Source organism: Homo sapiens, chromosome 6 (assembly GCF_000001405.40).
Source record: "Homo sapiens chromosome 6, GRCh38.p14 Primary Assembly".
Lineage (NCBI taxonomy): Eukaryota > Metazoa > Chordata > Mammalia > Primates > Hominidae > Homo > Homo sapiens.
The window spans coordinates 30,591,723-30,617,477 of record NC_000006.12 but is presented as its reverse complement, the minus strand read 5'-3'; the positions used below and the strand labels follow the sequence as shown (position 1 = coordinate 30,617,477).

At 46.5% G+C, this 25,755-nt stretch overlaps 1 protein-coding gene across 6 annotated transcripts, besides 1 other annotated feature; it reads left to right on the top strand.

Annotated features, from left to right (window-relative positions):
- On the top strand, nucleotides 235-17,065 carry PPP1R10 (protein phosphatase 1 regulatory subunit 10). Of its 6 annotated transcripts, XM_011514722.2 has the most exons (21): nucleotides 235-254; nucleotides 480-1,000; nucleotides 2,876-2,929; nucleotides 7,523-7,640; nucleotides 8,315-8,401; nucleotides 8,564-8,699; nucleotides 9,587-9,638; nucleotides 10,622-10,699; nucleotides 10,837-11,010; nucleotides 11,235-11,340; nucleotides 11,443-11,555; nucleotides 12,384-12,484; nucleotides 12,743-12,890; nucleotides 12,967-13,125; nucleotides 13,224-13,470; nucleotides 13,635-13,698; nucleotides 13,812-14,006; nucleotides 14,193-14,268; nucleotides 14,519-14,632; nucleotides 14,787-15,542; nucleotides 15,820-17,065. In XM_011514722.2, exons 4-21 carry the CDS (start codon nucleotides 7,534-7,536, stop codon nucleotides 15,927-15,929), a joined length of 2,823 nt encoding a protein of 940 aa, XP_011513024.1. In that variant the 5' UTR covers nucleotides 235-254; nucleotides 480-1,000; nucleotides 2,876-2,929; nucleotides 7,523-7,533; the 3' UTR covers nucleotides 15,930-17,065. The 6 variants fall into 6 exon arrangements, 3 of the variants coding, with proteins under 3 accessions (XP_011513024.1, NP_002705.2, NP_001363124.1); NR_072994.2 differs by lacking the exon at nucleotides 2,876-2,929 and having other exon boundaries at nucleotides 12,804-12,890; NM_002714.4 differs by lacking the exon at nucleotides 2,876-2,929.
- Nucleotides 6,960-8,159: an enhancer, noted in NCBI's record as "BRD4-independent group 4 enhancer chr6:30577096-30578295 (GRCh37/hg19 assembly coordinates)". NCBI's record gives its function as "activates an origin of replication core promoter dependent on BRD2, P300/CBP, MED14 and CDK7 cofactors, and independent of BRD4, by STARR-seq in HCT116 cells {active_cell/tissue: HCT116}" and the evidence as "EXISTENCE:reporter gene assay evidence [ECO:0000049][PMID:35650434]".

Below are 25,755 nucleotides of genomic sequence, written 5' to 3'. Positions count from 1 at the left end.
CTGGTCACGCGCACGCGACAGGGAGGCAGGAAGGAGGCGGAAGAGAGTGCCAGGGAAAGGGGCGGAGCAAAGGTGAAGTGAGAGTAGCCAATCAGTTGGCGAGTTGTCATTTGGGTTGACCAATGAGTTCACGCCTCGCGTATAATGTCTCGCGACAAGGGCGTTTCACTAGCACGTTTGGGCGCGTTGGGCGGCGTCCGGGTATAAAAGACTCCACCCGAGCGGGCGGCCGCCATTCTGGGGTTCGTTTAGAGGTAAGTTTGCCTACTTTGTCGTCTAGTGGGTAAAATTTTGCGGAGAGCGTTGGATCTGGGAAGCGGGATAGGGATGGATGGGTTCATTTGAGAGCCACGGCTTAAAGCGGTTGCGATCAGGATGGGACACAGGTTTGTTTGGGGACAACAAAGATGGCATTTGTGAGTGTTTTGAAGCAACCCGTACTGATTACATCTTTCTCCCTTGTGTTCCTTTTATCCCAGGTTTGAATTTTCTCGGAGAAAGACAGGCCGGCCACGAGGAAAACAGAAACAAGCCGCAGCAACATCTAAGCCCTTGAAAGGATCCTGAGAGAGGGGGGAAAGGGAAAACAGCAGCCACCAGCCCAACCACTTGTGTCTTCTGCCCCTTCCCACCTATCTTGCCCACCCCACCAGCCCACGCTGCTTGGGACTTGAAATCTGTGGCCGAAGGACCGTCACTACATAACTTCAAAAATAATCAACCACCCTCCCTTCCCAAACCACCCAAATTCACTCATCCAGCGTTTACTTTTTTGAATCCACTCAGAACTTTTTTCTGCGACCCCCCTCCCTAAATGGAGTTGGGTGGGGGGGAAATGAATACTGAGTTGGCCTTTATTTTTTAAAAGACTTTTTGATCCAATGAGGCCCCCTAAATAATTGAGTTTTGGGTCCTGGTTGGTTGTTTTATTTTTTTTCCTCCAAAATTTTACCCCCTCCCCCCTGAGCCCGAGGTGCTGACGTCGCAAAAAAATTGGATAGTAAGTGTCGAATTTTCAAAAACCAGCCTTGCAACAAGAAATCAACGTTTCCCGTTGTGAAACCAAAAATAATGAGAGGAAGAAATGAGACCATAGAACAAATAGAGAACTGGAGAAGGACCAATCTGGTCACTTAATCTCCATTAAAAAGGGCCTGTGGGTCTAAACAGTCTTGTTCTCTCTCCCCTACCACCTATCTCTTCCCTGCCTTGCTGCAGGCAAAGAGAGGGTGGAGGGAGGGCCAGCAAGTGAGGATTTTGATGGTTAACCCTTGGTAATCCAGCCAATTTCCAGACTGCCAAAGCCATATGTGTTTATATAAGGAGGAATGGTTACCTTCCTCTGGTTAGCAGCAGTCTTCAAAAGGGTTAATGAGCTCACATACAAGAGATGGTGGATCTTGTGGCCCAGAAGTACCACTTCTTTGTGTGTGAGACAAGCAGGGTGCCTTTCAATTTGCCAGATTAATAAGCAATCTGTACATAAAGATTGCAGGGTAAGGAGATGGGCAGAGAGAAGTAATAGCTCGCTATAACTTTTTAAATGACTGTTAAATCCTCTCAATTTTAATGTAATTTGCTTGGGGTATATTTGTGTGGTTAAAATAGGTGGCAATCTAGGAATAAAGATTGCAAGACACTTAGGACAAAATATAATCTTAGTGCCAGTACATACAAGATAATAGTTGGGGAGGTAAAGAATGTCTTATAATTGTTGCAGATTGCATAGGTATTTAAAAGCAAAAGAGTGATTAACATTTTAACTTGATATTTTTTGGTGGGGGAGGTACAGTTAAATAGAGGGTGGAAAGGTTGGGAAATGTGGAATTTAGGAGTATAATTTTAAAAGCCATTTAGTGCAATTGAATGCTAGCTTTCTAAAAGATTTGTGTCGTTAAAAGGAATTTTTTTCTTCCCTGCTTCAATATGGCGACTTTCCTTGTCCTTTTGTCTTCCAAGCGGCGTTGCAGGTTGTGTCTTGACCCATTTTTTTTCCTGTCCTCCCACCTCAACCCTATTTGTTGAGAGGGGTCCAAGTCCTTCCTCCCCCTTTCCCTCTATAGGGAGGATGGGGGTGGTCGATGGTAGCCGGTTGAACCTCCGTTGCAAATTCAGTTCTTCCCTGCAGAAAATTGTTCTTTTTAATATTTTAATTGCTTTAATTTTCACTACGCTCTTACTGATCAAAATAGGTCAAAGATTATTCACGATGGGGAACTGGTTTTTGATTTTTTTTTTTTTTTTTTTTACTAAAAAGGTGTTTTATAATGTAACTGAAGCTACCGGCAGAGCCGGGTGGCTTTTTAGTTTAAGTCCTCTTTCTCCATTACAAAATGGCGTCCCTCCGTCTTTGTTGTTTTTCTCCCCCTTTTGCCATCCTGAGCTTAGGGCCGCCCTAGAAACTTGGTCAAGTGGGAGGAGCAGCCTTGAAAGGTGATGTAATCAGCTTTCTTCCTCCTCTCTCCACCCTCTTGAAGCTCCACCCCTGAGCAGATGCTTTTGCACTGCCTGTGCTCGTTGCTGCTAGGGAGAAGACATTTTCCTTATTTTCATTATATAAAATATCTTAAAGGGATAGGAGCTTATAGGAATTAAGTATCAAGGCTGTCCATCTCTGTGTAGTTCTAGTTTTTATAGAACCAGTTTTTATTTTCACTTTCCTTCACTCATCACAACTGCTTGTAATTTTTCCCCACTTCAGCTGCCAGGGGTGAAAAAACAGGCAAACCTAAGACTGGGAAGCTTTGAGGATGTGTGTGAGCGTGTGTGTATGTATATATGTGTGTAGAGGGAGATGGGAAAGACACAAGGGCTTGCAAGAGTAACTTGGAGATAAACGGGCCTAATGACACTGAAGTGTGCCATTTCTGCTTAGGAACCAGTGGGCCTCCTGCATTTGGTCGCTTTGTGTAATGAGAATCGGGGGAAGGTGGGTACTTTTAGGACTTTCTTCTAAATCGCCCTCATTCCCACCTCTCAGTTTGGGGATAAACTGTATTCAGTGCTGTATCACGTTCTGCACTTGATTAGTTCCTGTACATTGGTACTAGGATAAGAAGTGAATCTTTAGGAAAGGAGGCGGCAGTTGTAAACTCAAGGCAGGGGGAATCAAGCTACGGTTTCTGGTAAGCAAAACCTTTCTGGTATTACATTTCACAACTTTCATTTTTTTTTTTTCCCCAAAGAGCCACCTTTTTTGAATTTCTTTTTCCTTCCCTTCTAAAAGAAATTCCTAAAAGCATTAATGAAAAAATGATGTCCTCTTCATTTTTCAACTCATGCAGTGCTGTGGCATTTGGTGCATGTTCAGAAGCCATGCCCTATCTGAGGGTGGTATTGGGTGTCTGGTTCCTTTCTTCCCCCAAATTTTTCAAAGTCAAATCTTTATCAGACTCTCCATATAATTTTAATTTTTAAAAGTCCTGCACTGAAGCGTGGAGGTTCTAGGCAGAATTGGAAAGTATAACTGCCCTCTGGTGACCTGGGTGAGACTTAGGGCTAACTTCCTACTGGGTACAGATTCTCAAATTATTACTTAAGCTTCTGGATTGGATGGGAGGGACTCTTCACATGTCTGTTGACTACAAGCTTTTTTTGTTTTGTTTTGTTTTTTTCTTTTAAGCAGTTTGCCATGTGCCTCTGCAGCATATCTTCCTTGGGAGCTGAACATTCTACCCACTGGGGTTCCTGATCTCTAGTGAGCCAGGGGATTAATAAAGAAGATCTTCCTTAACATGGGAGATGGGAAGCCAGGTCTACTAGGGGAACCACATCCATTCAGAAAATCTTGGAAAACCTGATCCTTGTAGTTTGTGGCCAGAGTTCTAGTCTGGGGTCTTTTTCTATGAGTCAGGGTGGTATATCATTTTGCATCTTTATTGGAAGGCAGATAAGCTTTTGAGGAGCTCATGTATCAGGTTTGCAAAATGACTGAGGGGTAGGGGCTTACTACTTGGAAGAAAGCTATGACCTTGTGATGAATCACCTGAGAGACATAATTCAGTCCACTATTGTGTCAAACTAGGAAGTGCCTAAAACACTGAAGAAAGGAAGGGGAACATAAGGGGTTAGGTACAAATCATTTTCATTTCCAGAAGTGCCTCTAAATTAAGGTAAATTTGGGACTTTTTTCTCCTTTTGTTAGAAGACAGTTATTTTTTAAAGAGCTCTGACTTGCACAGAATTTTTATCCTGAACCAATTCAGTCCTGTTTCATTGGTGATGGGTGTGGAATAACTTTAGCTATGCTGGATATTTTTTCACCCTATTTAATTGAATAACCCTCAAGTAAAATTCATTTTGAAGGCAGGAGTTGGTGTCACAGACGTTTATCTCTGGTAAAAATGGTAGAAAATTCCCCAATGCCTTGTGCCAGTAGAGTATGGCTCTGCCTGAAACATTCTCCATAAGGAACGCATAGCTTAGGATGAGGTGGAGGTAGGCCAGGGGGTTGCTACCTCACTCCCCACCTTCTGTATGTTCTGCAGTCAAGAAAATAGCAGCTCATTAAAAGAAGACATAATCATGCCGTGGATTACTTGTGGTTCCAGAAAGCTTTCTTAAGCTTTCATTCTAGACTCCAGATCTTGAGTAGGTAATGTTACAACACTTAGTCACGGCCCCTGCCTGCCTTCATCAACTCAGTTTGCCTTCTCTGCTGTAGCCCTGTGCCCGAAATGTTGGACTTTACATTCCTTTCCACTTGAGCGCCTTGGAAATTGTTTGGTTTTTTTCCAAAATATACTGACTTCAAAGCAAGGAAACTAGGTTATAAGACACTTGGGGTCCTTAATTTTAAATAAGAACTAATCTTCCTGAAGGAAGGCCATCATGAGAAAACCCACTTACATTTTATCAAGATTGGTGCTCATGAGACAAAATTTCACTTATATTTCCAAAATATAAGTAGTGGAAAATGAATATTTAACGCTAATTTTGCTTTGTCTCTTAGCTTCCCTTTGACTATTAATGTCTTTTATTCTTGTTTATACATGTGGGAATAAAAAAGTCCCTGGATCCCATTTCCAGCAGAGGGCACTGGACAGAATTTAGCTTTGTACTCATTGGTCCATTTTTCTAAGACTGGCTCTTCTTTCTTGTCTCCCATCCTCTTAAGGAACACTTGAGCTCAGATGACAGTTTATTTAGTGTCTGAAGGAAATAGGGGTAGTAGGTCTATTTATTGGCTTAGCTTGTAGTTGGATATGCAAAAAGGAATTCTCCAGGGTTATATATATTCAACTCTGGGTTTGAATCAGTCAAGGGTAACTGGTTTGAAATGATGTTTAATTCAAGGCCTTTTGTCAAATTGCATATATTTTGCTTTAGGAATCTAATGGTAGGTATGTGTGTATATATAGAGAGAGGGAGTTTTAAAAATTTCTTAGTCTCTTGATTGCTTATGATATGTTGTTATTGGAACCCATACATTGCTTTTCCAGTCTCCAACAGATGTGATATCTGTTTTATGTGTCCCTTTATCGTATCTCTTTATAGTTTCTATAGATCACTTTATAGTATCTCACTACATGGGAAGAATACCTTTATTTCTGTGTCTGTCTCTGTGTGTGTAGGAATCACCACACTTGAGTGGATTTGGCCCACGGACATCTAATCTTTTCCAGTATTCTCCTTGAATGTTTTTTCTCTGACCTCAGGTTCCACTTGTATTTGTGGAGGTTCCAGGGCAGCAGCGACTTCTCAACATTTCTTGCCTCATCTCTCCCTCTGTTCAGCCCACAGGTTATGATCTCCAGAGCCAAGATTATACTCCTACCCTTCCTGGCTGCCTCCTCCCTGCTTCTGCTGCTGCTCGCCTAGGTTGTTAGGACCTACACATTTGGAAACTTACTGACGTTTTTGTTGGGAGGACAAAAAGGCTGAGATTGTTATGCTATGTTTTTTCTTTTGTTTGAGAACAAGTAGAACTAATTTGCATTGTCTTACAAGAAACCTGTGTTTTTTCCGGCACAAAACTACTCATCTTTGTAAAATACTGATTTTTCTACCCTTCTGCTGGGATTGTGTCTGTTACTTCTGTGCTAGATGTAGGATGAGGAAGGTTTTGTTCTTGCCTCTTCCTTGCTACTCAGTGTGGGCCTTATTGCCCAAAGGCAGATATTGCTGAAGTGGCTTTCTTTTTTGGTGGTTTTTTGTTTGTTTGTTTTTGAGGCAGCGTCTTACTCTGTCTCTCAGGCTGGAGTGCAGTGGCACAATCACAGCTCATTGTAGCCTCAGTATCCCTGGGCTCAAGCAGTCCTCCCGTTTTCCCACGTCAGCCTCCCGGGTAGCTGGGACTACAGGTGCACACCATCACACTCGACTTATGTTTTGTAGAGATGAGGTTTCGCCATGTTGCCAAGGCTGGTTTCAAACTCCTGCGCTCAAGGAATCTGCCCACCTTGGCCTCCCAAAGTGCTGGGATTACAGGCATGAGCCACTGCACCCAGCCTCTTTTTTGGGTCTTAGAAGCAAGTATTTAGAGGCAGTGTAGATAAAAATCCCAATCAGAACCATATTGATCCTAAATTACCTTTCTGGAACTTCAGTTCTGGCTTGTCCCTTCCATAAAAGGAGCTTAGCTTTTAACTAATTCCCTTCCCAACCTGGTCTAAAACAGCTGCTTAAAAGGGAATTTTTCTAGCATTTGGCTTTATCTGTTCCCTTTTTAGGTTCCATGGTTTTCAGTTTTAGGCTTTCCTAGGGGATCTTGTACAGCGTGATTTTTGAGGAGAGGACCAGATTCGCATCTTTGCTTTTGAAAGCACAAACCACTAGCTTCCTTTTAACTTAGAGACAGTAAAAACTTGTGTAGTGTTTGGCTAATGAGTGACAGTCTATTCAAGGTCTAGGAGGACCTGCTTGATTTCCATGCATCCATTTGTCTCAATCTCTGGCACCTACTCCCAGATCTCCTTAGGGAGGGATTCTGTTTTCAAGTTTTGTTTTGTTCTCCATCATCTACCACTTCAGCTGATACATATCTTGCCATGTGTAGTGATTATGACTCTTAATGGGCTAAGATAAAAAGGACTCAAGTCTTATAAGACATTTAGCTCAAACACCCAAGATTGGCCCAATTTCTATCAAGCTATAGGCTGTTTTTCAAGCCAAATTTATCAGCAACTAGGGAAGACAGGACTTAACGATAGGTGTAAATGCCCTGGAGAGTTGAACATCTTGTTATGGGAACTGATCTTAGCTTTAATACGATCTAGTGAAGTTCAGCCATCCTAGGAAGGATGCTGCTGGGAGGGAGGGACAGGTGTGCTGCCCTACTCCTCCAATCGAATTGCTTTCCTGTTCAGTCACATATGCTCCCCATGCTTAACTTGCCAGGGCTATTTTCTCAGTAGTGGCAAGTGGTCTGTGTCGATTTTTCATATCTAAAAAATAGCATAGTTGAATAATTAGTCATTATACTTTGTCAAATATAGAGATGTGGTTTATTAGAGGGCCTACTCGGGTAGTCCTTGCCACCCATTTATTCTGTGGGTTTGTTTGTTTTGTCCTCTTACCATAGAAACCACCATCATGGGTTCGGGTCCCATAGACCCCAAAGAACTTCTCAAGGGCCTGGACAGCTTCCTTAACCGAGATGGGGAAGTCAAAAGTGTGGATGGGATTTCCAAGATCTTCAGGTGAGTCTTTACCCCTTTTTGTATTCACTGTGAGTAGAGAATATTGTGTGTTAAAACATGGCTGCAGTTGAGGCACACTGGAATGATCCTGGAAAGGAAAGGGAAAGATAGTCAGTGCAATAGGATTAAAATGTAACAATTTTAGGATAAGGGATAGGAAAAGATGATCACTTGTTTCTGACCATAATGGAAACTGGAGATTTGGACGTCCACGGTCCCAAGGGAGTCATGCTTTGGAATGAGAGCAGGGTAGCCTGGTAACAGAATTCTAGATTGTTTTGGTTCGTGTTCCACCTACCCATAATGTTATTTTCCTTCAGGGATTCTCAGGTTTTTCAGGGGAGAGTAAATAACTAAGCCAGTCTTGAACAGACTATTAGGGACAGTTGTTGAGGGATAGCCTTATCACCTGGAGGCAGAATGGAATTCATCCTGTGTGTTACGGAGGCAGCGATGCTCTCCTCCCCAGGTCAGAGACTGCGGTGTCTCTGTTCTCCCATAAGTTTCCATGTCACACTGGATCCATCCCATCTTCCTAGAGGTATATGTGACTCCCCTTCTCTGGAGCAAAGTCCCAAGTCATTAGGAATCTCTAGGCAGTTCACAGAGAGGCGCTTTTGCTAAGAGAAGAGATACTGGCTGCTTCATTTCTAACCCTAACTCATCTTCTGCAGTTTGATGAAGGAAGCACGAAAGATGGTGAGTCGATGCACTTACTTGAACATTCTCCTGCAGACCCGTTCACCAGAAATATTGGTCAAGTAAGTGGGGATCTGGATGGTTGGAATGGGAAGGTGTAGCGAAAAGATGGGGCGGTGAGGCATGGGGTTCCTCGGTCATTGATGGGAGACTGGGATTGTAGGATGTGGTACTGTCAAAACCTAGAAAGGGCATTACTGATAGACTCTCCTGCCTGCCTGCAGATTTATTGACGTTGGCGGCTACAAACTTCTTAACAATTGGCTGACGTATTCAAAGACAACCAACAACATTCCCCTCCTCCAGCAAATTCTACTGACCCTGCAGCATCTACCGCTCACTGTAGACCATCTCAAGCAGGTACCTTTAGTCTTTAAACCCTGATTCTTCCTTTTTTGGTTTAGTCTAATGGATGAAAAACTCAAACTGACTGATGTGGCTGTAATCTTGGGCCTGTGAGGTAGAACAGCAGAAAAAAAATAGGAATTTAGAAGAAGAAGACTTGGTTTGAATTTATCTCCTTTAATAGGTGTGTGGCGGCTGGGCACGGTGGCTCACGCCTGTGATCCCAGCACTTTGAGAGGCTGAGGCGGGCGGATCATGAGGTCAGGAGACTGAGACCATCCTGGCTGACGTGGTGAAACCCCGTCTCCACTAAAAATACAAAAAATTAGCCAGGCATGGTGGCATGCGCCTGTAGTCCCAGCTAATCAGGAGGCTGAGGCTGGAGAATCGCTTGAACCCAGGAGGTGGAGGTTATTGTGAGCCGAGATCGCACCACTGCACTCCAGCCTGGGCGACAGAGTGAGACTTCGTCTCAAAAAAAAAAAAAAAAAAGGAATGTGTCAGCCAGGTGTGGTGGCTCACACCTGTAATCCCAACACTTTGGGATGCTGAGGTGGGTGGATTGCTTGAGCCCAGTAGTTCAAGACCAGCGTGGGCAAAAATGATAAAACTCTGTCTCTACAAAAAATACAAAAAATTTACCCAGATGTGGTGGTGCATGCCTGTAGTCTCAGTTATTTAGGAGGCTCAGGTGGGAGAATCATTTGAGCCTGGGAGGTCGAGGCTGCAGTGAGCCAAGACTGCGCCACTGCACTCTAGCCTGGGCAACAGAGTGAGACTCCGTCTCAAAAAATAAAAAAAAAAAAAAAAGCAGGGAGGACTGTAACTTTTGTCGTTTTTAGCTCTAAGTGGAATTATTTGCCTCCTGGCATTTACCTTTCTGCTGCTCCCATCTCTCATAGAACAACACAGCTAAACTGGTGAAGCAGCTGAGCAAGTCAAGTGAGGATGAAGGTAGGGTGCCACTTCTGCTCTCTCATGGGCTTTTCTCTATTACTTCCACTTAATTACCTTAATATCTTTTCCCATCCTTGGATTGTCCCTTCACTTTTCTCTTTCTACCTCACCTTGCTTTTTTTCCTTCTTTTAAAGAGAAAGTTCCTCTAACCTGTACCCTCTTTCCTGTTCTCAATTCCAAAGTTGTTCATTTCTCTGTTGCTGAATATAAGGTGCCATACTTTAACTGGAAGCTGATTCCTAAAATTGCTTGTTATAAAACACATACACTTAAAATTTGCTGTGGGAAATAGTATCATCCTAGCGTGTCTCATCTGTGAAACTCCTATTACTAAATGATAAATTATGAAATGAGTTTATAAGTGGAAATGTTGGCCAGAAGAGAGGTGCCATAGATCAGAGATGTTATTTGCCAAGTACAAAAGGAAAGAGTTACAAAGTATTTTTTCATATATTTAGAAACAAATTTTATTCTTGTTTTCACATCTATAAAGGAAAATAAAAAGTCTTCAGATTGTTGTAACAATTAGGTGTGTTATACATAAAGCAACTAACGTAGCTTTTTAAAAAAATGTCAGTTTTTGAGGAACTGGTGGATTTTGGTTACATGTATAAGTTCTTTAATGGTGATTTCTGAGATTTTGGTACACTCATCACCCAAGCAGTGTACACTGCACCCAACGTGTAGTCTTTTACTAATGTAGATTTTAACCACATATTCTGAAATATTAGGTCTTTTTACTCCAGAGTGGTGTGATGACATCAGAGTTGAAAGTTATCCAAGTAGAACACAACTCTAATTCATTGTTCCATTTTTTAAGGGTTTGGTTTTTAAGCATATCTCATGTTCTTCTTAAAACTTTGGGTTACTTTCTCCGTTACATAAATTTTCACAATATTTTCTCAAACCTCCCATTTTCTGTTCCTGGAAGAATGTTACTTTACATTATTTAGGCATTTCCCCTTTCTGTCACCTGCAGAGCTCCGGAAATTGGCCTCAGTCCTTGTCAGCGACTGGATGGCTGTCATCCGCTCTCAGAGCAGTACCCAGCCTGCTGGTAAGCTCCTTAGTCCTTTATCCTTTGTATTTATTTCTTTCCTATTGGGATGTGGCCTTTAGGTGCTCCCAGTCTGCTTCACCTCTGACAGTGTTCATCTAAATAAAATCCTTTTCTGCTTTGTTTTTTCACAACAGAGAAAGATAAGAAGAAACGTAAAGATGAAGGAAAAAGTCGAACTACCCTTCCTGAGCGACCTTTGACAGAGGTGAAGGCTGAGACCCGGGCTGAGGAGGCCCCAGAGAAGAAGAGGGAGAAGCCCAAGTCTCTTCGCACCACAGCACCCAGTCATGCCAAGTTCCGTTCCACTGGTAAGACTGGCGGCTGGCCTCTGGAGGGTTCATGGGCATGTGCACACCCAGAGCCTTATGGGGGAATCATTTGATGTGTGGTATGTTAATCGTAAGGAAGAGGGAAGACTAGCAGAGGAAGCTTTGGTTACAAGGCTAGAAGAACATTTGCGGGTGAGAACGGGAGGAAAATTCGGGGGTCTGGGGTTTGAGTTCAGCTGCCCACACCGTGCTTCTTTCCCCAGGACTAGAGCTGGAGACACCATCCTTGGTGCCTGTGAAGAAGAATGCCAGCACAGTGGTGGTTTCTGACAAGTACAACCTTAAACCCATCCCCCTCAAACGTCAGAGGTATGGACCATATTCTCAGGCTCTGAATGGGGTGGATCTGTGGACACAAGGGAGCAGGAGGGGGTGAGTCGGAGATGTTGATGACAGTTCCTCTTCTGACAGCAACGTAGCTGCTCCAGGAGATGCCACTCCCCCTGCAGAGAAGAAATACAAGCCACTCAACACAACACCTAATGCCACCAAAGAGATCAAAGTGAAGATCATCCCGCCACAGCGTGAGTCTAAAGTGGGGAAGATGTACTTTGAATTAGGAGCAAACTTTTTTTTTTTTTTTTTTGGAGACAGAGTCTCACTCTGTCACCCAGGCTGGAGTGCAGTGGCACGGTCTTGGCTCACTGCAAGCTCCGCCTCCCGGGTTCACGCCATTCTCCTGCCTCAGCCTCCCGAGTAGCTGGGACTACTGGTGCCCGCCACCACGCCCGGCTAATTTTTTGTATTTTTAGTAGAGATGGGGTTTCACCATGTTAGCCAGGATGGTCTTGATTTCCTGACCTCGTGATCCACCCACCTCAGCTTCCCAAAGTGCTGGGATTACAGGCATGAGCCACCGCACCTGGCCAGGAGCAAACTCTTATGGGAATGAATGTCCCTGGGAACGAGAAGTTTTTTCCCTTCTCTTTTATTATTTCCCTCCATTTTCCTTTGATTTCTTGGTATCCCTTACTTTTTGTACCTCTGGAACTCCCGTTTCAGGGGTCACTTAGGAGTAATTTTAGAGATAAGATAGGGACGTGTGCCATTCTGTGACTGGTCAGGGGCACCTGGTAAGGTGATCTGTCATGTTCACAAGGGCTCACTTCGTCAGCTACCTGAGCTATAATTCACATCCAAAGCTATGGCTTGCCTGCCATGAGAAACCTAGAATAACAACAAGAATATCCTGTGTGAATCCTCCTGCATGTGCTTCCTGGTCCTCTTGAGCTTATCGTGTCCTAAGTTGAGGCAGGGTCTTCACTGGCTCATTTTATGCCTGGACTGTGTTTGCAGGTGTAGGATTATGAAGGAGGTCTGATGATGCCATTTGGTGCTCTTTCTTTTTGTAGCTATGGAGGGCCTGGGCTTTCTGGATGCTCTTAATTCAGCCCCTGTTCCAGGCATCAAAATTAAGAAGAAAAAAAAAGTACTGTCACCTACGGCTGCCAAGGTATGGGCTCCCAGAAGTAGGTTTCAGTGACAGAGTATAAAAGGTAAAGTAGAAGAAAGGGCACAGCAGCTAGGAGTTGTCGGGGAGGACAACAAGAGGCGTTTTGCCTTGGATATAGACTGGTGCAGGTGAGACATTGTGGAGACAGAGTCTTCCTTTATATAGGAACTGTTGGGGGACTGTGCCTGGGACCCTGGACTAATTGCCTTGCCCTTGGCTTTCCAGTCAGTTCATTAACTTCCTTTTCTTTCACAATAGCCAAGCCCCTTTGAAGGGAAAACGAGCACAGAACCAAGCACAGCCAAACCTTCTTCCCCAGAACCAGCACCACCTTCTGAGGCAATGGACGCAGACCGTCCAGGCACCCCGGTTCCCCCTGTTGAAGTCCCGGAGCTCATGGATACAGGTAATCTAGAAACTGGTTCAGTTTGGGGGGTTTTCTGAAAGGAGGGATCTGGGTCTGAAACCTCTTCTGCTTCCAGCCTCTTTGGAGCCAGGAGCTCTGGATGCCAAGCCAGTGGAGAGTCCTGGAGATCCTAACCAACTGACCCGGAAAGGCAGGAAGAGGAAAAGTGTGACATGGCCTGAGGAAGGCAAACTGAGAGAATATTTCTATTTTGAATTGGATGAAACTGAACGAGGTAAGAGGTCATTTCCTACGTAATAGGTGTGTTTAAGGGATTTTGAAAGGACTTGGTTGTGCTTACTTTCCCTCTTGCTTTTCTTCCCCTGCCGACAGTAAATGTGAATAAGATCAAGGACTTTGGTGAGGCGGCTAAGCGAGAGATACTGTCAGACCGACATGCATTTGAGACAGCGCGGCGTCTGAGCCATGATAACATGGAGGAGAAGGTGCCCTGGGTGTGCCCCCGGCCCCTGGTTCTGCCCTCACCTCTTGTCACCCCTGGAAGCAATAGTCAGGAGCGATATATCCAGGCTGAGCGGGAGAAGGGAATCCTTCAGGAGCTCTTCCTGAACAAGGAGAGGTGAGCAGAGTGGGGTTCGTGCCCTGGGATGTTGAGTGCTTGGACACTCCTGAGGGAACATGAGCTGGGGTAATTACGGGGTGGAGGTTAGAAATTACTTTCAGGGTCTGAATTAATAACTTGACTATCATTCTTTTTTCTCTCACCTGTGTTGTTCCTGATAGTCCTCATGAGCCTGATCCTGAGCCCTACGAGCCCATACCCCCTAAACTCATCCCCCTAGATGAGGTAAGTCAATGTTCTGTGATGATGGAAGTTGTGATGGTCATTGAATTCGGTGCATCTTTCATATGAGAATGTCTCTGTTCTGTCAATCCTGATTTTTTTTGTTCTTCTTTCAGGAGTGTTCCATGGATGAGACTCCGTATGTTGAGACTCTGGAACCTGGGGGGTCAGGTGGCTCACCTGATGGGGCAGGAGGCTCCAAGTTGCCTCCAGTTCTGGCCAATCTTATGGGAAGCATGGGTGCTGGAAAGGGCCCCCAAGGCCCTGGAGGAGGAGGCATTAATGTCCAAGAGATCCTCACCTCCATCATGGTACGCACCCTCCTTCCCCTTTTCCACCTTCTGTGGAGCCTCCTTAAGCTCGCTCTCCTCACTGTCTCCCATTCGCCTTACCCCAGTTCTCCACATCTACCCACTTACCCCTAATCTTTGGCGCTATCTTTCGCCATGGTTGTTACCCTTTCTGTCTGTTGACTTTGCCTTCTTACATCCTCACAGGGTAGCCCAAACAGTCATCCTTCAGAGGAACTACTGAAACAACCAGACTATTCGGACAAGATCAAGCAGATGCTGGGTAATCTTCAGGGCCAGCCCCAGGGGACTGGGGGAGGAAGCCTGCAGTGGAGTTGGGGGAAGCAGGGTTTCAAAGATGCAGAAGAATACAGGGCTGTGGCCACTAGGCAAGAAATGGGAGGGGAAGACTGGACAGAGAGAGCATTGCTCTGCCAGGTTGGTTTGAGAGGGTCAGTTGGTTGCACCTAAATGGGAGATCATGCTAGTCTTCTAGAGTGCTCATGCTGTGTTACTCTTGTTTTCATTAACAGTGCCACATGGACTCCTAGGCCCTGGCCCAATAGCCAATGGTTTCCCACCAGGGGGTCCTGGGGGCCCCAAGGGCATGCAGCACTTTCCCCCTGGACCTGGGGGACCTATGCCAGGTAGGTGGTGAGTAAAAGGTTGGAATGGGCTTATCTGCTTAATTTCAGTCTGATAATAGTATAGGATTGACTGGAAGGTGGGAGGTGGTGGTTTAGGTTGGGAGATGGCAGTTCCTGGTAGCTGATACTGTCTCTCTTTTTTGTCCCCTTACAGGTCCCCATGGAGGCCCTGGTGGGCCAGTGGGTCCACGTCTTCTGGGTCCTCCACCCCCTCCCCGGGGAGGTGATCCCTTCTGGGATGGCCCGGGCGACCCTATGCGGGGTGGCCCAATGCGGGGGGGTCCAGGACCAGGTCCTGGACCATACCATAGAGGCCGAGGTGGCCGAGGAGGAAACGAACCTCCTCCTCCTCCTCCTCCATTCCGAGGCGCCAGAGGAGGTCGCTCTGGAGGAGGACCCCCAAATGGACGAGGGGGCCCTGGTGGGGGCATGGTTGGAGGTGGTGGGCATCGTCCTCACGAAGGCCCTGGTGGGGGCATGGGCAACAGCAGTGGACATCGTCCCCACGAAGGCCCTGGCGGTGGCATGGGAAGTGGGCATCGCCCCCATGAAGGCCCTGGTGGTAGCATGGGTGGGGGTGGAGGACATCGTCCCCACGAAGGCCCTGGCGGTGGCATCAGTGGTGGCAGTGGCCATCGTCCCCATGAAGGCCCTGGCGGAGGAATGGGTGCCGGTGGTGGACATCGCCCCCACGAAGGCCCTGGCGGAAGCATGGGTGGAAGTGGTGGACATCGTCCCCATGAAGGCCCTGGACACGGGGGGCCCCATGGCCACCGGCCTCATGATGTCCCTGGTCACCGAGGCCATGACCATCGAGGGCCGCCACCTCATGAGCACCGTGGCCATGATGGTCCTGGCCACGGGGGAGGGGGCCACCGAGGGCACGATGGAGGCCACAGCCATGGAGGAGGTGAGGATGCTCCCTGTCCCCCATATGCCTTTTGGTTGTCCCATACAAGCTTTTGGGGAGTGGGTGAGAGTCACTACTGTTGGTAGCTAGGCAGAACGTGAGGTACCCGTCTCTTTGATGTCCTAGTATGCATAGCAGTTCCTACTCTATGCCCTTCCCCCAAATCCCCAAGATTGTCTCTGAAAGACAGTTCTCAGGATGTCATGGACAAGGGGTGGTGAGGGTGGCATTGCCCTCAGCTATTTCCTGTCTAACTGTTTTGCCATCGTTCCCACAGACATGTCAAACCGCCCTGTCTGCCGACATTTCATGATGAAGGGCAACTGCCGCTATGAGAACAACTGTGCCTTCTACCACCCGGGTGTCAATGGGCCCCCCCTGCCCTAGGGACCATTTGCCTGCCCTGTTCACACAACCCCTGTGGACTGCAGCCTCGCTCTTTCCACCCTGTTATGGCTTCTGTGAGGCCCATTTTCCCTTTTCCCCAGCTGATGAGGAGCCGGCCCCCTCAGTTCCCACTTGCTTGGGTTCCTGGGGGTTTTCTGATCACTGGTGCGCATTGATGTACATATTTTCCTCCAGTCTGGGGAGGAGAGAGACTGGAAACGTTCCTGGACTGCTGAAGAGGAGACCCAGTTGGCTTCACTTTTTGAGAAGATTCGCCCTGTACCCCAAACCCCTTTCCAGTATTACCCTTAATGCTTGAGAACCTAAAGCTGGTTATCCTGGCGAACACCCCTACCCTTCTATTGCGGGTCCCCACATGCACACAGAACTCTGACACAGGATCAGCTGCACTTAAGAAATCATCCCAGCTAAGTTCATTATTCCTCATGGGGTGGGGAGATGCTGAAAGGGGTATTGTATATCCCACTGCACTGAGAGGGCTCAATCAGCTGGATTTGAGTTCTGGAACACACATCATCCCCACCCCTCCCCCAGCGTGGGCTCACCATTCTTAGTCCTTTCTCAAGTGGGACCTTCAACTTTCTGTGAACACCCAGTCTGCGTCCTGGGTCTGCTAGGTTCGATGATGGCGAACTCGTATCTGCATCCGGTGCAAGTTTTAGCTGGCAGAGGTGAGACCGGTGGTGCTGGTCTGCCTTTGCCAACTATAGCCAGTCTGGAGACTTGATAAAATACTTCAGTGAGACCAGCTTCTCATCAACTTGGGCCCGGCGTGCTGGGCCTGAAAGTCACACTACATGCACTGCCTTTGGGAGTCAGCTCACTCCCTGCTCCCACCTGGAACCTTGCCAGCGTGAAGGAGGCTTCCAGGTACTTCACCCTGTCAACCACCTCTGAATCCCCACCAGGCGCCTTCCTGGGTGGATTCAACAAGATGATTTTGCCCTTTCCCAGTTCTCTCCTTCACTTTGGCATCAGTTGTTTTCTATGAAAACAGTGGATTGGTTGGGTTTTGTGCAGGGTCTTGGGTTAGAGCCAAAATGGATTTGAGGATGAGTATTTTTTTTTTTGGTTTTGTATATTTTGTACATTAATAATAAACAGTGGAAAGAGAAGCAGCTTATTTAACCCCTAGTGTGTTTGGACTTTTTTGAGACGGAGTCTCGCTCCGTTGCCTGGGCTAGAATGCAGTGGTGCAGTCTTGGCTTACTGCAATCTCTGCCTCCTGGGTTCAAGGGATTCTTCTGCCTCAGTCTTCTGAGTAGCTGGGATTCCAGGCACCTGCCACCATGCCTGGCTAATTTTTTTGTATTTTTAGTAGAGACTTGGTTTCACCATGTTGGCCAGGCTGGTCTGGAACTCCTGACCTCGTGATCTGCCCGCCACGGCCTCCCAAAGCGCTGGGATTACAGGCGTGAGCCACCGCGCCCGGCCTGGACTGTTTTTCATTTTTTTTTTTTTAAAAGCCATTACCACCTGTGTTAGATACATTAGTACAAATCTGTGGAATCTGATTTTTACTCCTCTGGAGCTAATGCTTGATCTAACAGTTGCTATTAAGTACTGGTGAAAAAATGCTTCAAAAAGTACATAAAATACTCTAGGATACAGAGTAGATCTCGGCCACAGGGCTCTTTCCTGGTTTTCATCTTTCTGAGTCTTCTTTAACACGCCTCGTGTGTGTTCCTAGAACAGTCCTATCCTGGCTATCGTGCCCTCTAGGATGTGTTCTTGGTCATCTTATCCACATTCTACAGATAAGGGAGGAAATCCTGAGGATGCTGGAGTCAGATAAAGGCCATTGTCCCAGCTCTACCTCTCTACAGCCTGGGTGACCTTAGCCAGGTTAGTGTTGGGTATCAGTGGCTCATGTCTGTAATCCCAGCACTTTTGGGAGGCCGAGGTGGGAAGACTACTTGAGCCCAGGAGTTTGAGACCAGCCTGAGCAACATAGGGAGACCAGGTCTGTACAAAAAATACAAAAAATATTAGGCATGGTGGCACATGCCTTTAGTTCCAGCTACCTGGGAGGCTGAGGCGAGAGGATCACTTGAGCCTGGGAGTTCAAACTCACAGCTATGATTGTACCACTGCAATCCAGCCGGAGCAACAGAGCAAGACCCTGTCTCAAAAAAAAAAAAAAAAAAAAAAAGCCAGGCATATTGGGTCATGCCTGTAATCCCATCACTTTGGGAAGGCGAGGTGGGTGGATCACCTGAGGTCAGGAGTTGGAGACCAGCCTGGCCAACATGACAAAACCCCGTCTCTACTAAAAATACAAACATTAGCTGGGTGCCTATAACCCAGCTACTCCGGAGGCTGAGGCGGGAGAATCCCTTAAACCCAGGAGGTGCAGGTTGCAGTGGGCCGAGATCATGCCACTGCACTCCAGCCTGAGTGACAGGGCAAAATTCCGTCACAAAAAAACAAAGGGTAAGTATAGACTGCTCTTCCCAAAGTGGCTCTGGCCAGGCATGGTGGCTCAAGCCAGTAATCCGAGCACTTTGGGACGCCAACATGGGAGGATCACTTGAACCCAGGAGTTCAAAACTACCCTAAGCAACATAGGGAAGCTCCATTTCCCCATTTCCGCGCCTGGCCTCCACTCTTCTTAAACCAGAAATTAAAGCTGGGCATGTTGGCTCACGCCTGTAATCCCAGCACTTTGGGAGGCCCACATGGGACGATCACTTGAACCCAGGAGTTCAAAACTACCCTAAGCAACATAGGGAAACTCCATTTCCCCATTTCCGCGCCTGGCCTCCACTCTTAAACCAGAAATTAAAGCTGGGCGTGGTGGCTCACGCCTGTAATCCCAGCACCTTGGGAGGCCGAAGCAGTTGGATCACCTGAGGTCAGAAGTTCGAGACCAGCCTGGCCAACATGAAGAAACCCCATCTCTACTAAAAATACAAAAATTAGCTGGGTGTGGTTACTGGCGCCTGTTATCCCAGCTACTCGGAAGGCAGGAGAATCGCTTGAACCCAGGAGGCAGAGGTTGCAGACTGCACCACTGCACTCCAGCCTGGGCAACAAGAGTGAAACTCCATCTGAAAAAAAAAAGAAAGGATACATCACTCTGGGGGGAGTGTGTGTGGCAGATATGGGGCAGTTGAAGATATTAACATGTTTTAACATGTGGGTTGAGAATGGCGGTTTTCAAGTCTGTTAGCATTCATCAGGATCATCTGAAGAGCTTATTAGAAAACAAATCTGGGGCCGGGTGCAGTGGCTCATACCTGTAAACCCAGCACTTTGGGAGGCCAAGGCGGGTAGATCAGGAGGTCAGGAGTTCGAGACCAGCCTGACCAACATGGAGAACCCCCGTCTCCACTAAAAATACAAAAATTAGCCGGGCGTGGTGGCGCATGCCTGTAATCCCAGCTACTCGGGAGGCCGAGGCAGGAGAATTGCTTGAACCCGGGAGGTGGAGGTCGTGGTGAGCCGAGATCGCACCATTGCACTCCAGTCTGGGTAACAAGAGCGAAACTTGGTCTCAAAAAAAAAAAAAAAAAAAAGAAAGAAAAAAAAAAACAAATTTGGGTTGGATGCAGTGGCTTATGCCTGTAATCCCAGCACTTTGAGAGGCCAAGGCGGATGGATCACCTGAGGTGAGGAGTTTGTGACCAGCCTGGCCAACATGGTGAAATCCCATCTCTACTAAAAATACAAAAATTAGTCAGGCATGGTGGCTCGCGCCTGTAATCCCAGCTACTTGGGAGACTAAAGCAGGAGAATCACTTGAACCCGGGAAGTGGAGGTTGCAGTGAGCAGAGATCACACCACTGCACTTCAGCTTGGGTGACAGAGCCAGACTCCATCTCCATCTCAAAAAACAAAAACAAAACAAAAAGAAAAAACAGACAGATTGGGGGTAGGGTCCAGCAAAATTCTGATTTAGTAGGTCAGGATGGATCCCGAGATATGCATTTCTAACAAATTCCCAGTTGCTGAGGCTGCTACACTGCCCTGGAATACGTGTCTCAGCTGTATTTCCAGCATTGGCCACATGAGGGGGCAACAATGTTTTATCAGTATCTGAAAGGCCTCACTGCATGTAGGCCCAAAGTGGGTAGTTTTACCTTCCCCTTGCCCAGGCTTGGTGTGTGTGGGCGGAGGTGTTCAGGTCAGTCTGTTGTTGCTGTGTGCACTGGGAGAAGACCTGAGAAGACATAATCTAAGGACCAGGCTAGGGCGTGAAATACCAAAGAAGTATACAGCTCAAGTGAAAAAACCCAAACATGTCACAACCTAGTGGTCACAACTTTGTGTCTCTTTCTGCTTCCATTTACTGCCTGCTTCTCACCTTTCTTCTATCTCCTGCAACAAGCCACAAGAACCTTAAAAGAGAGCTTAAAGTTTTTACTGTATTTTAAGAATAAGCTCGGCCGAGCGCGGTGGCTCACACCTGTAATCCCAACACTCTGGGAGGCCGAGGCGGGCAAATCCCAAGGTCAGGAGATGGAGACCATCCTAGCCAACATGGTGAAACCCCGTCTCTATTAAAAATACAAAAATTGCCAGGCGCGGTGGCTCACGCCTGTAATCCCAGCACTTTGGGAGGCCGAAGCGGGCAGATCATGAGGTCAGGAGATGGAGACCATCCTGGCTAACAAGGTGAAACCCCTTCTCTACTAAAAATACAAAAACTTAGGTGGGTGTGGTGGCGGGTGCCTGTAATCCCAGCTACTGAGGAGACTGAGGCAGGAGAATGGCATGAACCCGGGAGGTGGAGCTTGCAGCGAGCAGAGATCGCGCCACTGCACTCCAGCCTGGGCGACAGAGCAAGACTCTGTCTCAAAAAAAAAAAAAAATTAGCCGGGAGTGGTGGCACGCACCTGTAGTCCCAGCTACTTGGGAGGCTGAGGCAGGGGAATCGCTTGAATCCAGGAGGCAGAGGTTGCAGTGAGCCGAGATAACGCTACTGCATTCCAGGATGGCGACAGAGCAAGACTCCGTCTGAAAAAAAAAGAAAGAATGAGCTCATTTTCTTTCAAATCATTTATGAAAATTCGGCCAGGCGTGGTGGCTCACGCCTGTAATCCCAGCACTTTGGGAGGCCGAGGCGCGTGGATCACCTGAGATCAGGAGTTCGAGAGCAACCTGACCAACATGGTGAAACCGTCTCTACTAAAAATACAAAAAATTAGCCGGGCGTGGTGACTGGTGCCTGTAATCCCAGCTACTCTGGAGGCTGAGGCAGAAGAATCGTTTGAACCCAGGAGGCGGAGGTTGCAGTGAGCTGAGATCGTGCCATTGCACTCCAGCCTGGGTGACAGCAAAATTTCATCTCAAAAAAAAAAAAAAAAAAAATTCAAAGAAACCTGTTTTTTTTTTTTAGACAAGTTTCACTCTTTTGCCCAGGCTGGAGTGAAATGGCACGATCTTGGCTCACTGCCCCCTGGGTTCAAGGATTCTCCTGCCTCAGCCTCCTGAGTAGCTGGGATTGTAGGCACCTGCCACCACGCCTGGCTAATTTCTGTATTTTTAGTAGAGATGGGGTTTTACCATGTTGTCCAGGCTGGTCTCGAACTCCTGACCTCAGGTGATCCACCCGCCTTGGCCTCCCAAAGTGCTGGGATTACAGGTGTGAGTCACGGCACCCGGCCTACCTGTTCCTTTTTACTTACGTAAAAACTTTAGATTATATAAAGAGAAGATTTTCCTTGTTTTTTGTTTTTTTGCAGGGGGAGAGAGGTTGAACATTTCATTCATTTCACTACAATGATGTTTCTTCACCAAGCCCTCCCTGCAGGCACTTTTCTCTCTACCGTTTCAGTCTGTTTTTCCTTTCTGCTTCCATTTTTTCCCTCTAAAATACCCTTGTGACATTCAACGTTCTCTTTCTGTCAATCCTTCCCCAGGTGCAACGGGGTCTATCTTCAATTCAGAATCATTATCCTATTTCTTTCATTCCTACTCCTGGGCAGTAGACCTAATGTTGAAAAATCACAAAATCCTACTATCTTAGCCCAGTACAAATTAATGTTAGCATTGATTCTACACTTACTGCTGCTCAGCAAACCTTTTTTTTTTTTTGAGACGAAGTTTTGCTCTTGTTGCCCAGGCTGGAGTCCAATGGCATGATCTCCGCTCACTGCAACCTCCACCTCCCAGGTTCAAGTAATTCTCCTGCCTCAGCTTCCTGAGTAGCTGGGATTACAAATGCGTGCCACTACTCCTGGCTAATTTTTGCATTTTTAGTAGAGACGGTGTTTTGCCAAGTTGGTCAGGCTGGTCTCGAACTCCTGACCTCAGGTGATCCGCCTGCCTCGGCCTCCCAAAGTGCTGGGATTACAGGCATGAGGCACCGTGCGCGGCCTACTCTTCTTGATTCTCTGGCACCAAAGCTTGGGAAAAAGTGAGTCCCATCCACTGTGAGCAACATTTTCCCTTCCCTTCACATGGAAATATCTGAGTCTACATTATCTCCCTTCCATTCCATTCTTAGATGAAGAGAATCTTCTTTCCAAAGTAATATTGAGCTGTTCTCCTGGCATCTCTTTTCCCTGTCTCCCCACACCCACTATTTGCCACCTAGCAGCCAGGAGCAATTTTGTAAAAATGAAAACTGAATCAGTTTGCACTCCTGGCTAAACAGAACCAATGGCCTCCCATTGCTCAGCCTCTCCTGATCACATCCCAACCTGCTGTCTATGCATATAAGGCCCCGTGTGTATTGGCGCATGCTCAAGTTCTCAGCTCCAGCCATTCCTTGACCATGTTCAGCTCTTTTCAGCCTCAGGGTCTTTGCACATTTTGGTCCCTTCCCTGAAGGCTCTTCCTTTCCTACCTTCAGGCTTTGGCTTTAATGAGGCTGAGGTGGGAGGATAACTTGAACCCAGGAGTCTGAGACCAGCCCGGGCAACAAAGCAAGACCTCTTTGCTACAAAAAAATTAAAAAATTGGCTGGGCATGTTGGTGGACACTTGTAGTCCCAGCTACTTGAGAAGCTGAGGTAGGAGGATCACTTGAGTCCAGAGGGTTGAGGCTGCAGTGAGCCATGATTGTGCCACTGCACTCCAGCCTGGGAAACAGAGGGAGACCACATCTCAAAACAACAAAAAACACATTTCTACGATGTTTACTGTGTACCACATATGTGCATCACTTGTAGGTAATAAGCTGTTTATAAATAAAACAATTTAATTTGGTTAATGAAATTTCCATGCGCTACCATGGAAATGTTTCCCTTTCGTGTTCCATTTCTATGCTGCTTTTTGGAGGGCATACTTTTGCCCACATTTAGGTGAATTATTAATTCCATTAACAGCACATATGATCGGCTACAGGGATCACAGAAGTTAAAACATACACGGGAGGAGATAAAGTTTGTGGCCAGGTGCCGTGGCTCATTCCTGTAATCCCAGCACTTTGGGGAGCCTAGGAGAAAGGACTGCTTGAGGCCAGGAGTTTGGGACCAGCCTGGGCAATATAGCAAGGCCTCATCTTTAAAAAAAAAAAAAAAAAAAAAGAACAGAGAGAGAAATGAAATTTATGCCTGTGGCGGAAAGTTATTTTGGAGTACTTAAAGTACTTTTCTCACTTATGTTTGAAGTAGTGAAATTAGTGACCAAATATTTGAAATGCAAGCTGGTATTCACTTTATAAATAACATTCCTATATATTTTATGTATCATCTCAACTAGACTAGCGAAGTAAAAACTTAAAAATGCAAAAGTATAGGCCAGGTGCGGTGGCTCACGCCTGTAATCCCAGCACTTTGGGAGGCCGAAGTGGGCAGATCACCTGAGGTCAGGAGTTTGAGACCAGACTGGCCAACATGGCAAAACCTGATCTCTACCAAAAGTACAAAACTTAGCCGGGCGTGGTGGCACGTGCCTGTAATCTCAGCTACTTGGGAGGGTGAGACAGCAGAATTACTTGAACCCAGGAGGCAGAGGTTGCAGTGAGCCAAGATCACGCCACAGCACTCCAGCCTGGCAACAGAGTAAGACTCCATCTCAAAAAAAAAAAAAAAAAATATATATATATATATAATATGAAATACATATAACAAAAGCAACAGAATTTAAGGCACTTTACGTATTATTACACATTGAATCCCCTAATAACCCTGTGAAGTAGGTAACTACCACCTTCATTTTACAGATGAGAAAAGAGGTATCAAGAGGCTAATGGCTTGTCCAAGGTCACTGCCAAGACCCTGACTTTTCCCCCTCAAATTCCATAAGAGGCATGTTTCCTGATGTCTTTTGGTTTTTGTTTGAGACAGAGTCTCGCTCTGTTGCTCAGGCTGGAGTGCAGTGGCGCAACCTCGGCTCACTGCAACCACTGCCTCCCGGGTTCAAGCAATTCTCCTGCCTCAGCCTCCTGAGTAGCTGGGACTACAGGTGTGCACCACCACGCTCGGCTAATTTTTTTGTATTTTTAGTGGAGATGGGGTTTCAATATGTTGGTCAGGGTGCTCTCGAACTCCTGACCTCATGATCTGCCCGCCTCCCAAAGTGCTGGGATTACAGGCATGAGCCACCATGCCCGGCCTCCTTATTTTTAATTTAGAGTGTTCCCTGACTATGCAGCTATCTCCACACCAAAACTTCACTTCCTGTATGAAGCTTGTACTTGAAGTCCAGTATTATTTATTCACTTGGCTGGAAAACAATTTCCCCAAATTAAATGTCCAAACAGTTAAATCTTAGCCACACAGCTCTCCCTATTCCCTCTGGAACTGGATATATCTCCTGTCACTCCCTTCTCCCCAACCTCCACATCTGCTCTTTCCATCCCTATCTCCCCTAGCTAGTTTAGGATTCAGTTACCCCATTCCCGTAACAAAAGTTATGGGCTTCACCCTGCAGGTTTCTACAGCACGCCTTGCACATCACCACCTAATACCACTACCCACCATTTGCATTTTACTTTCCAAACCCATCTCCCCAGTCTAACTCTTAAGAAAAATGGCCACAGCAGCTATCATCCATTAACTCCCAAGTAGCTTGTTCTTCCCCCCAAGCCTGAGATCTGCTCTTTTCCTACTTCTGAAAAATGGCTCCCTGGTCCCTGATTAGTCAAATCATCATTTTTCAAGATCTACCCTCAAGTGACCCTGTCAAATAATCAGGCCCTGGATAATCTTTCCCTTTTTTGAGTATGTGGCAACTTAGAATCTAGAGTACGACATATTAGACAATTGATCAAATTAATTATCTATTCATGCTTACTTTTAAGTCTTCTCTAACCAGACTATTAATGAAGGCAGATCTTGTCTCTTCCCTTCTTATATACCCCACAGTACCGTACATTTTGGCTAGATGATTTAATAATTTTTGAGAGAATCAATACCCTGGTCCCTGGCCACAGGGCAGAGCACCTCCTCATTCATGAGATTAACTTGGACAATGAGACCCAAATTCTGGCTAGGCGTCGTGGCTCACGTCTATAATCCCAGCACCCCAGCACTTTGGGAGGTCGAGGTAGGAAGACTGCCTGAGGTCAGGAGTTCAGGACCAGCCTTAAGCAACATAGCAAGACACTGTCTCTACTAAAAATTAAAAAAAAAAAAATTAGTTGAGTGTGGCGGCACATGCCTGTAGTCCCAGCTACTCAGGAGGCTGAGGTGGAAGGATTGCTTGAGCCCAGGAGGTTGAGGGTACAGTGCACTCTAGCCTGGGCAACACAGCAAGACCCTGTCTCAGAAAAGAGAAAAAAAAAGAAGTTGGGCACAGTGGCTCATCCCTATAATCCCAGCACTTTAGGAAGTCAAGGTAGGTGAATTACTTGAGGTCAAGAGTTCGAGACCAGCCTGACCAACATGGTAAAACCCTGTCTCTATTAAAAACAC

What these genes read in the sequence shown, in the direction of transcription:
- PPP1R10 (NM_002714.4), top strand. Translation starts at nt 7,534, where the DNA reads ATGGGTTCGGGTCCCATAGACCCCAAAGAACTTCTCAAGGGCCTGGAC. An exon ending in GGGATTTCCAAGATCTTCAG is followed by an intron (nt 7,641 to 8,314) that starts GTGAGTCTTTAC and finishes CATCTTCTGCAG; the next exon opens with TTTGATGAAGGAAGCACGAA. An exon ending in GAGCAGTACCCAGCCTGCTG is followed by an intron (nt 10,700 to 10,836) that starts GTAAGCTCCTTA and finishes TTTTCACAACAG; the next exon opens with AGAAAGATAAGAAGAAACGT.